Source organism: Homo sapiens, chromosome 3 (assembly GCF_000001405.40).
Source record: "Homo sapiens chromosome 3, GRCh38.p14 Primary Assembly".
Lineage (NCBI taxonomy): Eukaryota > Metazoa > Chordata > Mammalia > Primates > Hominidae > Homo > Homo sapiens.
Genome location: NC_000003.12, coordinates 14,994,825 through 15,012,539, shown reverse-complemented (window position 1 = coordinate 15,012,539; position 17,715 = coordinate 14,994,825). Strand labels below are relative to the sequence as shown.

At 41.4% G+C, this 17,715-nt stretch overlaps 1 protein-coding gene across 24 annotated transcripts in view; it reads right to left on the bottom strand.

Annotated features, from left to right (window-relative positions):
- Nucleotides 1-17,715, bottom strand: part of NR2C2 (nuclear receptor subfamily 2 group C member 2) — a 101,691-nt gene that overhangs the window by 36,734 nt on the left and 47,242 nt on the right. For 16 of the 24 annotated variants that reach the window (XM_047448826.1, XM_047448825.1, XM_047448829.1 and 13 more), the window contains 2 exons: nucleotides 8,554-8,664; nucleotides 7,927-7,983 (listed from right to left, as the gene is read on the bottom strand). In XM_047448826.1, coding sequence (XP_047304782.1) covers nucleotides 7,927-7,983; nucleotides 8,554-8,664 — 168 coding nt within the window. The remainder of the gene's footprint in view (nucleotides 1-7,926; nucleotides 7,984-8,553; nucleotides 8,665-17,715) is intronic. The other 8 variants (XM_047448830.1, XM_047448836.1, XM_011534063.4 and 5 more) reach the window with 1 other exon arrangement.

The window sequence follows — 17,715 nt, the reverse complement described above, 5'->3', positions numbered from 1 at the left end:
TGAAATGGAACTCCAGCCGGACGCAGTGGCTCATGTCTGTAATCCCAACACTCTGGGAGGCCGAGGTGGGAGGATCACCTGATGTCAGGAGTTCAAGACCAGCCTGGTCAACATGGCGAAACCCTGTCTCTACTAAAAATACAAAAATTAGCTGGGCGTGGTGATGGGCGCCTGTAGTCCCAGCTACTTGGAATGCCAAGACACGAGAATCGCTTGAACTCAGAGGCAGAGTTTGCAGTGAGCTGAGATTGCGCCACTGCACTCCAGCCTGAGCGACAAAAGGGAAACTCCGTCTCCAAAAAAAAAAAAGAAATGGAACTTCAAGGTTGAGACAACAAACTCACACAGTCTAACACAACAGCTTGGCTAACTGCAATACGGAAAATAAGACAATGTTGGCTGGCTCAAAATAAAATGACATAGGCAAGAAAAGATTCAATCACTTAAATGTTTACTGAGCACCCACTACGAGTCAAACACTGTTCTAGGTACTAGGAATAGGGACGTGAACAAAAAAAGGTCCCACCATCATAGAACTAAACTTCTATTGGGGGAAGCAGACCATGAACTCTGAATAAATAATATCAGTCAGTGTAAATGCCCTGGAGAAAACAAAAAGCAGAATAAACAGAGAAAGCATGACATTGGGAAGGAGACAGGGATGCAACTTTAGGAGGAAAGACATCTCTGAGTATGTGACACTGAACAAAGACTTGAATCAAACACAACAGTAAACTGCAAAAATGCGGCAAAGTGTGCTACACGGCACAGCCAAGTGCAAGACCAGAGAGGCAGCAGAATAGGATGACAGATCCAAGAATGAATACTCAGCTGATTATGGGACAAACCCCAGTATATCATCATTTCCAACTAAAGGGGCAAAAGATGTTTAAGGCTCAAGGAGAATGGATTTGGAGGGAATGAAAGGAAGAAACTTTCATCATTACAATCTGTGGCATGCCCGGAGTCCCCCAGAAACATAAAACATGAGACAGAAAACCTTGTGAAAAGAATTATCTTTAAAAAAAACTTTCCTACCCACAGCTCAACTGAAAGATTGCAGACACAGGCTGGTTGACACATACTTCTCTCAGCTGCCACAGAAGGGATTCTTGCCTTAGATAAAGAAGATGGCCTTTGGAAGCCCTCATAACCTGAGCTCTGTGAGTCATATGTCTATCAATTCTTTTTCTTTTTTTTGAGACAAGAGTCTCGCTTTGTCACCCAGGCTGGCGTGCAGTGGCATGAGCATGGCTCACCGCAGTCTCAACCTCCTGGGCCCAAGCAATCCTTCTGCTTTGGCCTTCTGTGTAGCTGAGACCACAGGCGCGTGCCACCACACCCAGCTAATTTTTTAGAAAATTTTTTTGTGGAGATGGAGTATCATTTTGTTGCCCAGGTGACCTCAAATTCCTGGGCTCAAGTGATCCTGCCGCCTTGGCCTCCCAAAGTGCTAGGATTCAGGCATGAGCCACCAAGCCCAGCTCATGTCTATCAATTTTTGTTTCCTTCCTAAACTGTTTTCCCTGTTAAGAAATGACAGTTATGTGATTGAGAGGGGTCTTCAATTACCAACTAAAACCAAGGCAACACTAGTAATTCCTTTGCCCTTTTGTGTTCAGGGATGACACATGCTGTACCAGAGCACACACAGATAACCAGCATGTCATTTCTTGTATGCTCTTCTCCAGTCATTGTGGTTGAGGTATGGCAAGTATGAGGTCAGGGTATGTTGGGAAGTAGAAGTTACTGGTTCCAGACAAGGACAGCAGCTCTTAGTGGCAGTATATAACATACCTCAAGGCTCAGAATTTTTTTTTTTTTTTTTGAGACAGGGTCTTGTTCTGTTACCCACATTGGAGTGCAGTAGCACGATCCTGGCTCACTGCAGCCTCGACCTCCTAGGCTCAAGCAATCCTCCCATCTCAGCCTCCAGAGTAGCTGGGACTACAGGTAAGCACCACCATGCCTGGCAATTTTTTTTTTTCTCTAGAGATGGGGTCTTACTATTTTGCCCAAGCTGGTCTTGAACATCTAGGCTCAAGTGATCCTCGTGCCTTCGCCTCCCAAGGAGTTTACAGGTGAGAACCAATGCACCTGGCTAGATTATTCTTTTCTTTTTTTCTCAAAGACTCACGCTTATAAAAATTCAATGAATTACTTATAATTTTGGGTTTTTTTTTTTTATCTTCACCCTCCTAAGACATCCGTATCCTCCATTTAGAGAGATCACGCCCATGAAAAAACTAAAAATGCAGGCAGAAAAAAAAATCTCCCAAATACCCTATTGGAACACAAGGGTGACCATTAGGCAAGACCTTGTTAACAAACACAGATAGATTCCTATTTAATGACCTAGAGGACACATCAAATTGCAAGGATATATCCAAGCTCATTAAAATTTAAGTCGGCTGTGGAGGAGAGGTATTGTGCATAGAACTGTACCCCCTGAAAAGATACATTCCAGCCATAATTCCCAGTATCTATTAATGTACCTTACTTGGAAGTAGGGCCTTTGCAAATGTAATTAGGATAAGATGAGGTAATACTGCATTAGGGTGGGCCCTAATTCAATGACTGGTGTCCTTATAAGAAGACCATGTGGCAATGGAGGCAGAGATTGGAGTGATGCAGCTGCAAGCAAGCGAGGAATGCCAAGGACTGCTGGCACCCACCAGAAGGTAGGAAGAGGCAAGGAAGGACACTCTCCTAGAACCTTAAGAGAGCATGGCCCTGCTGACACCTTGATTTCAGACTTCTGGCCACCAGAAGGTTGGGAAAATAAATTTCTATTGTTTTAAGCCACTAAGTTTGTGGTAATTTATTGTGACAGCCCTGGGAAACTAATACAAGAGGCAAATTTTATTTCTTTACTTGGAACAAAAGTTCTTAAATTCCTGTCTGTAAACTATAACAAACTGGGGGGAATGAAGTAACGTTAAGAAGATATGTGTTGTTTTCTGTGATTTTTAAGGCCCTCAATAGCCTACCTATACACTCAGAGCTGCCATAATGCTTGTTGTGAAAAGATGAATTTGTTTGAACATGATTGATATGTTAGTAAATAATTTGAGTATAATGCAAATTTTGTGTTTATGCATGGTTTCTTCCATGAATAAACACTGAGGTGAAGTGATCCATGCAGGGATACTCAGTGCACATGGTATGAGTCACATTCAATCCATCTGGTGATTTCAGGTCACCCCATGTCCACCACTCACAGTAACTCATGAGACGCAATCCTCCCTACACCTACCTCCACAAAGAATCTACAAGGCTTTTTCTAGGTAAAGTGCCGTATTTACTTATTTATTTTTGAGACGGAGTTTCGCTCTTGTTGCCCAGGCTGGAGTGCAATGGCACGATCTTGGCTCACTGCAACCTCCGCCTCCCAGGTTCAAGTCATTCTCCTGCCTCAGCCTCCCGAGTAGCTGGGATTACAGGTATGCGTCACCATGCCCCGCTAATTTTTTGTATTTTTAGTAGAGATGGGATTTCTCCATGTTGGTCAGGCTGGTCTCAAACTCCCAACCTCAGGTGATCCGTCCACCTCGGCCTCCCAAAGTGCTGGGATTATAGGCACTAGCCGCCGCGCCCGACCAAGTACCATATTTATTATAGTCACTATGTATTTAACCACTTGCAGGTTTTATTAGATTCACTATCTGTTTTTTAATACGTTACTGACAAAGTTTTTGAGTGTCACTAATTTCATTTTTTCCAATCAGTCCTGTGGTTTTCATCACACAATTTGGCAAAGTGTGGGAATTTTCAGGAACACACATCACATTATAGCAGAACTGACTTTACTAAGCTAAGGTCCTCTCTAGTTCTAATCCCAAAGGACCCTGGAATGATCTCATACACCACCATTCTCCCCCATGTTACCCACTCTGTTCCAGCCAGTTCAACATCTCTGTTGCAAAGAAGAGCCTGCCAATGAATGGCCTGCAGGCAAAAACCAGCCACTGGATAACTTTTGTTTGAGTACCCAAAGTTTTTGTTTTTTTTTTTTCTTGAGACCAGGTCTTATTCTGTCACCCAGGCTGGAGTGCAGCAGCACGATGTTGGCTCTTTACAACCTCCACCTCTCAGCCTCAAGTGATCCTCCCATCTCAGTCTCCTGAGTAACTGGGACTACAGGCTCGTGCCAGCACGCCTGGCTAATTTTTGTATTTTTTATAGAGATGACGTCTCACTAGGTTGCCCAGGCTGGTCTTGAACTCCTGAGATCAAGCGATCCACCTACATCGGCCTCCAAAGTGCTGGGATCACAGGTGTGAGCCACTGCACTCAGCCCCCTAATTTAAAAAAAAAAACAAACAAACAAAAAAACTGTTTGCTAACATCTAAAAATTGAGTATTTCCCATAATCAAAATCAAATTTATAGTTCTCTTGACAAACTGGAAGCTCAGGTCATCCTGGGCTCAAGTTCTCCCCATGGTGCCAGGTGGCTGGAGCGGGTGTGGGTTGGCTACCTCTTTAGATGAGGTAGCCTCTCCAGTTTATCCCTATCCACCTTGCCACCTCTTTCACTGTAAACACCCGAGAAAGGGCTTGGTAGCTACAGACATGAATAGGAATGCTTGCTCTTCTACTTCCCAGCTGTGTCAACTTGGAGCAGTTACATAAGCCCTTGAGCTCCATTTATATATCTATGAAAAAGGATGACTAGGAAAGTGAAATGATACGATGTGTGTGAAACTGTTTGGTACACTGCCCAGAACATGACAGGACCTTGGTAAAGTATTTCTTCCCTCTAAGCTCTCACATACTCCTTTCCTCACTCAGTCTTGTCTTATCCCTTTCATCTTATCAAATCGCTCCTGAGGAAAAAGTCAAGACTTTTTACCATGGCTTACTCATTCTTTCATTCATTCCTAAAATATTTACTGAGGGGCTACTCTGTCAGACACTGTGTTAGACAGTGGCATATGAAGATGGCTCCTGCCCTCATGAAACTTTTAGTTCAATGGAAGAGACTGGCAATACACAAGGAAACAAACCAGTCAGTAAACAATTTCAATTTATGGTACATGTTATGAGGGAAAAGATCAGGTTGGGGTAACCCTGAATAACAAAAGTACTTAACTTTAAAAAGAGAGGTCAGGGGGCTGGGCACGGTGGCTCATGCCTGTAATCCCAGAATTTTGGGAGGCCGAGGCAGGCGGATCATAAGGTCAGGAGACCGAGACCATCCTGTCTAACATGGTGAAACCCCGTCCCTACTAAAAATATAAAAATTTAGCCAGGTGTGGTGGCGAGCACCTGTATTCCCAGCTACTCGGCAGGCTGAGGCAGGAGAATGGCATGAACCCGGGAGGCGGAGGTTGCAGTGAGCCAAGATCGCGCCACTACACTCCAGCCTGGGCGACAGAGCGAGACTCCGCCTCAAAAAAAAAAAAAAAAAGAGAGGTCAGGGAAAACCTCTGTGACAAGGTGACATTTAAGATGAGATTTGGGCTGGGTGGCACAGTGGCTCGCGCCTGTAATCCCAGCACTTTGGGAGGCCGAGGCAGGCTGATCAGCTGAGGTCAGGAGTTCGAGACCAGCCTGGCCAACATGGTGAAACTCTGTCTCTACTGAAAATACAAAATTAGCCTGGCGTGGTGGCGCATGTCTGTAATCCCAGCTATTTGGGAGGCTGAGGCAGAAGAATTGCTTGAACCTGGGAGGCAGAAGTTGCAGTGAGCCAACACTGTGCCACTGTACTCCAGCCTGGGCGACAAGAGCGAAATGCCTTTAAAAAAAAAAAAAAAAAAGATTCAAGGCTGAGGAGACAGCAGCCAAATAAATGTTTAGTGTTCCCAGCAAAGAGAAATGTTCTGGTATATGGAAAGCCCTGGGAGGAACAGTTTCTTGGGAACTGCTATCAGGCCCACAGACAACCAGCATGGCCCAGGAACCTAGAGAGGGAGGTGGAACGGCCCTGCTGCGAGTTTGGATTTCTTTCTGAGTACAATGAGAATCCCTTCAAGGGTTTGTCCCTCAACCCAAAACCAGCTCTTCAGATTTCCTATACTATTTATATACACACACATACCCACCTGCCCACTCACATACCTACATATACACAATTTCCTATAGTATACATAGAATTTACATATAGCATATATATAAAGTTTATAAGATAGGTCAGGGTATATTAGAGCATACCAAAAGATAATAGCAAAGATTATTGACTAAAAATAAAAAGGGTAAAAAGAACCTGCTTTAAAAAAGGTTTGCAAAAAGGTAAATAAATCCTGACCTTTGCAAAATGGTAAATAAATCTTTTACTTAAGTATAAATTTTAGCTCATATGAATAGTTCTGAATTACTATTTTATTTTTTTGAGACAGGGTCTCTCTGTGGCCCAGGCTGGAGTGCAGTGGCATGATCACAGCTCACTGCAGCCTCAACCTCCTGGGCTCAAGCAATCCTCCCACCAAAGCCTCCCAAGTAGCTAGGACTACAGGAATGCATCACCATGTCTGGCTAATTTTTTAGTTTTTTTGTAGAGATACAATCTCACTTTGTTGCCCAGGCTGGTCTCGAACTCCTGGGCTCAAGTAATAAGCCTTCTTCAGCCTCCCTAAGTGCTGGGATTACAAGTATGAGCCACTGTACCCAGCCTAAATGGAGGATATTAATCCAAATATATCAACAATCACTTTAAATATGAATTGATCCACATCCACCAATGAAAAGACAGATTGTCAGCTGGGTAAAAAAACAAGACCCTTATGAAATTATGTAGGAAGTAGGAAAAAAATGGGAAAAAATCAAGACCCCAATACATATTGCCTACAGGAGACCCATTTTATAAATAAAGACACAGACAGATGCAAAATAAAGGGATGGAGAAGCTGACAGTGGTGCACATTTGTAGTCCCAACTACTTGGGAGGCTGAGGCAAAAGGACAGCTTGGGCTCAGGAGTTTGAGGTTGTAGTGCCCTATGATCCTGTCTGTGAATAGTAAATGCACTCCAGCCTGGGCAACAGAGCAAGATTCTCCTAAAAAAAAAAAAAAAAAAAAGTTGGCCACGCACGCTGGCTCACACCTGTAGTCCCAGCACTTTGGGAGGCTGAGGCAGGTGGATTGCTTGAGCTCAGGAGTTTGAGACCCACCTTGGCAACATGGTGAAACCCCATCCCTATTTATAAAAAAAAAAAAAAAAAAAAAAAAAGCATTATGCGTGTGTGTATCCAGGCATGGTGGTATGCACCTGTAGTCCCAGCTACTTGGGAGGCGTAGATGGGAGGATGGCTTGAGCCTCTGAGGTAGAGGCTGCAGTGAGCTGTGTTCACGCCATTGCACTCCAGCCTGGGTGACAGAGCAAGACCCTGTCTCAAAAAAAAGAAAAAATGTCAAAACATAGAGAAAGTTATACCATGCTAGCAACTAACACTAATAAAAAGAAAACTATAGTAATTTCAGACAAAGCAGACTTCAGAACAAGGAAAATAAACATAAAGGGAAATGGTACATAATAAGAAAGGGGTGGCTGGGCATGGTGGCTCATGCCTGTAATCCCAGCACTTTGGGAAGCTGAGGCAGGAGTATCACTTGAGGTCAGGAGTTCAAGACCAGCCTGGGCAACATAGCAAGACTCTGTCTCAAAAATAAATAAATAAAAAGAAAGCAAGCAACCAAGAAAGCAAGCAAGAAAGGGGTTAATTCTCCATCGCTTCTCGACCTTTTGGCTAAGATCAAGAAAGGGTTAATTCTCCAAAAAGACATAACAATATAAAACATATATGCAACTAACAACAGAGCATCAAAGTGAGCCAAAAAAACTGATAAAACTGCAAGAAGAAAAACAGAGAAATCAACCGTTATAATTGGCTTTTTGATTCAGCTTGTTGAGATAACAATAAATCTTTGTCATCAATATATTATCCCTTCCTCCCAGCTTTTTGCCTTCAAGCTTGATACACCTACCTTCTCTTTGTTCAAAGATGTGAAAACACTCAATGGGCCAGAGGCAGGTTCAGAGCCCTAGGGAAGACAACTTCCCATAAGTGAATATCGATTAGTTAATAACAATATTAGTAATAAGTTATTATATAATTAGTAAATATTGAACATTATTATGTGCCAGGTACCATTCTAAGCACTTTATAAGCAATATCCCTTTGATTCTTCATAATAACTTCGTGAGGCAAATACTACTATTATGTCTATTTTCCAAATGAAGAAAGTGAGGCATTAAAAAGTTAATTGACCAAGGTCAACAAAGCTAAGTGGGGCACTGGATTTGACTTCAAGTAGGGGCCCTTGCTCTTAATTACAGTACTAAGACATACTGCCTCTCAATTTAGAAGCAAATAAGTAATAAAATGGTACTTTATCTCAATGGTTTGAAACAACAGTTTAGGCTTTTGCTTTAAATGTAAGTTGGTTAAATAAATGTAAGCATTTTTTCTTTATTTTTTTTAAAGAATTGATGAAGTTGTACTGTATTTCATGCCCAAAAGGCACAACTCTTTAGTGAAACCCTTAGGAAGGTTTGTTTTTGGAAAGAGTTCTTCTGGAAAGGCAGGGTTGCCATTGGCAGGTTGCAGGTACCTGAATGCGCTGAGGTGAGGCTACAGCAGAGTCGGTGGAGATTATCTGGATGCGTGGGGAGGGGCTGGTCATCCCTGGAGATTCCGGCCGAGAGGTCTGTGTACGTGTTACCTGTGGGTGAGAAGTGGGCTGGATCACAAGGGGGTTCAGAATGATGCCCAGAGGTGGCCTGAAGACCACGCCTCTTGCTTTCACTGTGGCCTGGAGTGATGAACTTGTATGGTTCTGAGGTATGGACCCAGAAGGATGATGACAAAGCAATCAATGAGATGTTGCTACAGGATGCCCCCCAGGAAAATACAATCTTAAAACAGCTGTTTCAAATGTTGAAAATGTAAGAAGAAACCAAAGGAATTTGCAGTTGTGCTCTGCACACTTTAATAAAGTAAAAACCTACCAAAACAACATTTTAAAGATGATCTTTGAATGTTATCCCTGTCTCCAAAGCCACCTGTAAAACATTCCTTTAATATGGTTTCCCGAGAAAGGCTCTCACAACACAGCAGGGGATGACAAACAAAACCAACATTACACTGAAACCTACTGGGATTAGTACTTATAAAAGCGTCCTGGTAATTTCTCAGCCCCAATGGGATGGAGCTGGGAAAAGCCTGTCAGGACCACAGGGTCTGAAATTTAGTCAATACCTATCCCAAAGGCAAGGTACAAGGTGCTGAGTGGTCACCTGGGTATCTGAAGCAGGCAGATATATTTTTTCTTGATAGAAAGTGTATTGTGGCTGGGTGTGCTGGCTCACACCTATAATCCCAGCATTCGGGAGGCCAAGGTGGGCAGATCACTTGAGGTCAGGAGTTCGAGACCAGCTGGCCAAAATGGTAAAACTCCATCTCTACATTAAAAAAAAAAAAAAAAATTAGCCAGGCACGATGGTGCGCACCTGTAATCCCAGCTACTCGTGTGGCTGAGGCAGGAGAATCGCTTGAACCAGGGAGGTGGAGGCTGCAGTAAGCGGAGATTGTGCCACTGCACTCCAGCCTGGGTGACAGAAAAAAAAAAAAGTGTATTGTGGGTCGGCGGCGGTAGCTCACGCCTGTAATCCCAGCACTTTGGGAGGCCGAGGTGGGTGGATCACTTGAGGTCAGGAGTTAGAGACAAGCCTGACCAACATGGTAAAACCCTGTCTCTACTAAAAATACAAAATTAGCCAGGCATGGTGGCCCGTGCCTGTAATCCCAGCTACTAGGGAGGCTGAGGCAGGAGAATCGCTTGAACCCGGGAGGCGGAGGTTGCAGTGAGCCAAGATCATGCTATTGTACTCCACCCTGGGCAACAAGAGTGAAACTTTGTCTCAAAAAAAAAAAAAAAAAAAAAAAAAAAAAAGTATATTGTGAACACTTCACAAAAAACTCTTCCTAAAATTAGAAGAAAACACTTCCCAATTCTGTGAGGCCAATATTACCTGATACTGAAACCAAAGACATCACAGGAAAAGAAAACTACAGACCAATATCTCTTATGAATAGAAACACAAACAATCCTCTACAAAACTCTAGCAAACCAAATCCAGTGGTATATAAAGGATTATACACCACGAATAACTGGGGTTCATCCCAGGAAAGCAAGCTTGTTCAAATATGAAAATCAAACAGTTCTATACATTGCATTAAAGGAATAAAGGACAGAAGCCACATAATTATTTCAATTGATGGCGAAAAAGCATTTGACAAAATCTAACAACATTTCATGAAAAAAACACTCAATAAACGAGATATAAAAGGAAAGTTCTCAATCTGATAAAGGGTCTCTATAAAATACTCACAGCTATACAGTATACTTAGCGGTAAAAGACTAAAAGCTTTCCTTCTAAGGTTAAGAATAAGATGAGGATGTCCATTCTCTCTACCTCAACATTGCACTAGGGGTTCTAGCCAGGGCAATTAGGAAAGAAAAAGAATAAAAACATTCAGAATAGAAAGGAAGAAAACTATCTCTGTTTGCAAATAACATGATCTCATATAGAAAAAAATCCCACAGAATCCACAAAAAACCCATCAGAGCAAGTAGACGAGTTTCAGGGTTGCAGGATATAAGATCAAAACACAAAAACTGGCCAGGTGCAGTGGCTCAAGCCTGTAACCTTGGCACTTTGGGAGACCGAGGTAGGAGGATCACTTGAGGTCAGGAGTTTAAGACCAGTCCGGACAACAAAGCAAGACCCATCTCTACAAAAAAATCAAAAAATCAGGTGTGTGTGGTGGTACGTGCCTGTAAGTCCCGGGTACTCAGTAGGTTAAGGTGGGAGGATTGCTTGAGCCCAGTTGTTCTAGGTTGCAGTGAGCCATGATTGTGTCACTACACAGCCTGGGCAAGACTTTCAAAAACAAAAAACAAGGCCAGGCACAGTGGCTCACACCTGTAATCCCAGCACTTTGGGAGGCCAAGGCAGGCGGATTACCTGAGGTCAGGAGTTCAGGACCAGCCTGGCCAACATGGTGAAACCCCATCTCTACTAAAAAACACAAAAATAAGCCGGGTATGATGGCGGGGCCTGTAATCCCAGCTACTCAGGAGGCTGAGACAGGAGAATTGCTTGAACCCAGGAGGCGGAGGTTGCAGTGAGCCAAGATCACGCCATTGCATTCCAGCCTGAGCGACATGAGTGAAACTCTGTCTCCAAAAAAAAAACCAAAAAAAAAAAAAAAAAAAACCCAAAACAAAAACACAATAATCAATTGTATTTTTATATATTAGCAATGAGCAATCTGAAAATGAAATTAAGGAAGCAATCCCACTGACCATGCATCAAAAAGGATAATATATTTAGAAATAAAATAAATTTAACAAAAGAAATGCAAGATTTGAATACTGAAAACTATAAGATATTGCTATGAGAAATTTAAAACACCTAAATAGGCTGGGCACGGTGGCTCACGCCTGTAATCCCAGCACTTTGGGAGGCCGAGGCAGGTGCATCACAAGGTCAGGAGATTGAGACCACCCTGGCTAACACAGTGAAACCCTGTCTCTACTAAAAATACAAAAAATTAGCCGGGCGTGGTGACGGGTGCCTGTAGTCCCAGCTACTCAGGAGGCTGAGGCAGGAGAATGGTGTGAATCCGGGAGGCAGAGCTTGCAGTGAGCCGACATTGTGCCACTGCATTCCAGCCTTGGCAACAGAGCAAGACTCCGTCAAAAAAAAAAAAAAAAAAAACCTAAATAAATAGAAAGACATTTGTGACTTAATATTGTTAAGATGGTGATATTCCCCAAATTGATCTAAAGATTCAATGTAATCCCTATCAAAATTTCAGGTGCTTTTTTGCATAAATTGACAAAATGATCCTAAAATTCATATGGGAATGCATGGGACCCAGAGTATCCAAAACAATCTTGAAAAAGAACAAAGTTGGAGGTCTCACACTTCCTTATTTCAAAACTTATTTACAAAGCTACGGTAATTAAAACTGTGTGGAATCCAGCAATCACACTTCTGGGTGTTTACCCAAAAAGATTTGAAATCAGTTTGTTGAAGAGATGTCTGCACTCCCATGTTCTCTGCAGCACTGTTTGCAATAGCCAAGTTACATAATCAACCAACAAGTCCATCAATAGATGAATGAATAAAGAAAATGTGGTATATACACACAATGGAATACTATTCAGCCTTTAAAAAGAAGGAAATTCTGTCATTTCTGATGACACGGATGGAACTGGAGAACATTATGGTAAGTGAAATAAGCCAGGCACAGAAAGACAAATACCACATGTTCTTACTTAAATGTGGAATCTAAAAGAATCAAACTCATAAAACCAGAGTAAAATGGTAGTTAACAGAGGCTGAGGGGCAGGGGGAATGGGGAGATGAAAGTCAGGTCAAAAGGTACAAAATCTTAGGAGGAATACTTTTCTTTTTTTTTAGACCTATTGCACAGCATGGCGAATACAGTTAATAATAGCCTATTGTACATTTCAAAATTGCTAAGAGTAAATTTCAAATGTTCTCATGGCAAAAATAAGTATTTAAGGTGATGGATATGTTAATGAGCTTGATTTAATTTTTACACATTGTAGTCACGGATCATAACATCACTTTGTACTGTAAATATATGCAATATAAACTCAATTTGTAACTTAAAAAAATTGCAGTACCGGCATAAAGACAAGACATACAGACCAATGGAATATAACAGAGAATGCAGAAATAAACCCTCACCTATATGTTCAAATTTGATAAAGGTGCCACGATAATTCAATAGGCAAAGAACAGTCTTCGACAAATGGTGATGGGACAAGTGGAAATCAAATGCAGGGGAACAAATCTGGACACCTACCTTGCACTATTACAAAAAAAAAAAATCAAAATGGATCAAAGATCTAAATGTAAGAGTTAAAACTATAAAACTCTCAGAAAACACAGGTGTAAATCTTCGTGAACTTGAATTAGGTGATTGTTTCTTAGATGACACCAAAAGCAAAAATAGCACAAGAAAAATTAGAAAATAATCATTAAAACTAGAAACTTTTTTTTTGGGGGGGACAAGATCTCTTACTCTGTTGCCTGTGCTAGAGCGCAGTAGCACAATTATGGTTCACTGCAGCCTCATCCTCCTGGGCCCAAGCAATCCTCCCAACCTCAGCTTCCTGAGCAGCTAGGATCACAGGTGTGTGCTACCATGCCGGGCCAATTTAAATTTTTTTTGTTTGTTTTTGAGACGGAGTTTCACTCTTGTTGCCCAGGCTGGAGTGCAATGGTGCGATCTCGGCTCATCGCAACCTCTGCCTCCTGGGTTCAAGTGATTCTCCTGCTTCAGCCTCCTGAGTAGCTGAGATTATAGGCATGAGCCACCACACCAGGCTAATTTTGTATTTTTAGTAGAGACAGGGTTTCTGCATGTTGGTCAGGCTGGTCTCCAACTCCTGACCTCAGGTGATCCACCCGCCTGGGCCTCCCAAAGTGCTGGGATTACAGGCGTGAGCCACTGCACCTGGCCTTAAAAAAAATTTTTTTTTTGTTTTTTGAGACACGGTCTCACTCCTGGATGCCCAGGCCAGAATGCAGGGGCACAATCTTGGCTCACTGCAGCCTCAACCAACCTCCCAGGCTCAAGTGATCTCCCTACCTCAGCCCCCCATGTAACTGGGACTATGGGCGTGCGCCACCTAATTTTAAATATTTTTGCAGAGATGAGGTCTCCCTATGTTGCCCAGGCTTGTCTCCAACTCCTGGCTCATGTGATCCTTCCTCCTTGGCCTTCCAAAGTGTTGGGATTACAGGTGTGAGCCAGCGTACCTGAACTCAAATTAATGAGTTTTGTGTTTCAAAAGACACCATCAAGGAAGTGAAAAGACAACCTATAAAATGGGGGAAAAAAAAAGTGCAAATCATATATCATTACAACTTAATAACAAGACAAAAATCCCAATTTAAAAATGAGCAAAGAGTTAAACAGAAATTTCTCCTAGAAGATATACAAATGGCCAATAAGCACAGGAAAAGATGTTCCAAGGTCATTAGTTAGGGAAATGCAAATCAAGACCATGATGAGATACCACTTCATATCCACTAGGATGGCTACAATGTTAAACATGGACAATAACAAGTATTGGTGAAAATGTGGAGATGGGAACCTTCATACATTGCTGGTAGTAATGTAGAATGGTACAGTTACTTTGGAAAACAGTCTGGTTGTTCCTCAAAGGGTAAACACAGAGTTGCCATATGACCCATAATTTCACTCCTAGGTATATACTCAAGACAAAGAAAAACACATGTCTACACAAAAGCTTGTATACAAATGTTCACAGCAGCATTAGTGATAACAGGCAAAAAGTAGAAACAACTCAAATATCTCCCAAATGATGAATGGATAAATAAAACATGGTATATCCATGTAATGGAGTATTATTTGGCAATAAAAAGGAATGAAGTGCTGATACATGCTACAACATGGAAGACTCAGCCACGAAAGACCACCATATATTGCATGATTCTATTTATTTAAAATGTCCAGAATAGGCAAATCCATGGGGACAGAAAGTAGATTAGTGGTTGCCAGGTGACAGGGGAACAGGGGTAGCAAGAATAATTGCTAAGAGATGTGGGTTTTTTAGTGGGGGCATGATAAAAACATTCTGGATTTAGATAGTGGTGATGGTTGCATACTCTTGTGAATGTACTAAAACCCACTAAGCTGTATATTTTTAAAAAATGAATTTTATGGTATGTGAATTATATCTCAATTTGATAAAATATTATCAATTAATTCATTACTGGGCTATTAAATTTTTTTTTCTTTCATAAGCATACATTTTAACAACAAATTCACTACAATGAAGTCAACAGAATCCAGTATTTTTACAGTGACTTTTAGCTTAAAAAATATGGATTAGCTCTCTCTTGGCTAAGAAATAGGCAGGACAAGCACAACCATTTTATAGGAGGTATGGTGAGGCTGAGATCCTGCAAGGTATGTCTCCCAGGATCCATGTACACATAACTGCTAGCTCTGTTTATTTATAACTGAAAAGAAAAGGCTGGCCAATCACTTTATCAGAGCATATTCATTGCATCCTTTAATAATGAACATTTAAAATTTTGGTTGAGTCTATTAGTCTGCAAGTTAATTCTGCCAGTTTTAGATACAGTTATGTGTTGCTTAAAGACAGGAATATGTTCTGAGAAATGTGTCATTAGGTCATTTCATCATGTGAACATGATAACATGTACTTACAACAAACCTAGATGGCATAGCCTACTACACATTAGGCTATGTGGTATGGCCTATTGCCCCTAGGCTACAAACCTGTACAGCATGTGACTGTGGTGAATACTATAACCGACTCTAACAGAATGGTAAGTATCTGTGTATCTAAACATAGAAAAGGTACAGTAAAAATACAGTTATAATCTTATGGGACTACCTTCCTTCCTATAGGCACTCAAGCACTGACAGAACCGTCATTATGTGGTTCACATTTGGTTTGTGACTGTATTGAAAATTCTTCACTGGCAGAATAACAGGCCAAATTTTGGCTCAGGTCCTTACTTTATTTGCAAGAAGTTTTAAAGCCATCAACATTATTGGAGTACCCACAGGCTATGGAATCTGACAGACCTGGGCTCTGAAACTTGTACTGTCACCTTAAACAAGTCATTAACCCTCTAGCCAGGCGTGGTGGCTGACACCTGTAATCCCAGCATTTTGGGAGGCCGAGGCGGGCGGATCACGAGGTCAGGAGATTGAGACCATCCTGGCTAACACGGTGAAACCCTGTCTCTACCAAAAAATTAGCTGGGCATGGCGGTGGGCGCCTGGAGTCCCAGCTACTCGGGAGGCTGAGGCAGGAGAATGGTGTGAACCTGGGAGGCAGAGCTTGCAGTGAGCTGAGATCGCACCACTGCACTCCAGCCTGGGGGACAGAGCGAGACTCCGTCTCAATAAATAAACAAATAAACCCTCTAATAGCTAAAACGTGAAACTTCAAAATTTCCTCAAATTCAACATGGACATATTGTTACTACTTTATGGCACTGGTGTGAAGGTTAATGAATAGTAAGTTAAACATCAGTTACATTCAGCAAATGATAACTGATACTGTCACAAACCTGAAAATTTTTCTAAACCTAAGTTATAAAAACTATATAACTGTCTTTGCTACACATGATACAATGTGCTAATGTGTCTCTCAAACAGAAAATTCTTTGTATTTTATTTTAAAATATTAAATCCAAACTCATATACAAAAATTAAAAAACACAGGTGCAAATCTTCATGACCTTGGATTAGGCAATGGTTTCTTAATGTATTACACTTGAAGCAAAAGCAACAACAACAAAATACATAAAATGGGTTTTACCAACATTAAAATCTTTTGTGCTTCAAGACGGTAAGAAAGTGAAAAAGAAAACTGATACAATGGGAGAAAATAATTCTCAAATCACATTTGATAAGGGACTTTTATTCAGAATATATGAAGAACCCTTATAACTCAATGAAAAGAAGACAAAAACCAATTACAAATGAGCAAAGGGATTGAACAGACATGTCTCCAAAGAAGATATACAAAATGGCCAATAAGCACTTGAAAAAATATTCAATATCACTGGAAATACAAATAAAAATCACAATAAGATACCACTTCACACCCTCTAGGGATGCTACAATAAAAAAGATGCAGGATAACAAATGTTAGCAAGGTTGAGGAGAAACCAGATCCTTCATACACAGCTGGTGGGAACATAAAATGGTGCAGTCTCTTTGAAAAACAGTCTGGCAGTTCCTCAAAAGTTTGAAAATAGTTACTATTTGACCAGCAATTCCACTCTTAGGTGTACACACACACACACACACACACACGTAATGAAAACGTGTCCACAGAAAAACTGGTACACAATGTTCACAGCATTATTCCTAATAGCCAAAAAGTAAAAACGCCCAAGTCCATTAACTGATGAATAGATAAAATGTGGTATATCCATACAATGGCATATTATTTGGCAATAATGAAACGAAGTACTGGTACATGCTACAACATGGATAAGCCTTAAAGACATTATGCTAGGTAAAAGAAGCCAGTCACAAAAGACTATATGATTCAATTTATATGAAATGTCCAGAACAAATATAAAGATAGAAAGTAAAGTAGCAGTTGCCTAGGGCTGGGGGGTGAGAGCTAAGGAGTGTGGGGTTTTTTTTTTTTTTTTTGAGGGGGTAAAGAAAATGTTCTGAAATTAGGTATTAGCGATGGCTGCACAATATTGTAAATATACGAAAAGCCACAGAATTCTACACCTTAAATAGGTGAACTGCCAGCCTGGGCAACATAGTGAAACTTGGTCTCTATTAAAAAATTAAAAAAACTAGCCAGGCGTGATGGCGTGTGTCTGTGGTCTCAGCTGCTTAGGAGGCTGAGGTGGGAGACTCACTTGAACCCAGAGGGTTCAACTCGACCGGAGGGTCAAGGCTGCAGTGAGCTATGATTGTGCAAATTCACTCCAGCCTGGGTGACAGAATGAGAACTTATCTCAAAAAAAAAAAAAAAAAAAAAGTGAATTGTATGGTATATGAATTATATCTTAATAGAGCTGTGAATTTTTCTTTTCTTTTTTTAGAGACAGGGTCTTGTTCTGTCACCCAGGCTGAAGTGCAGTGGCACAATCATAGCTCACTGCAGCCTGGAACTCCTGGGCTCAAGCGATCC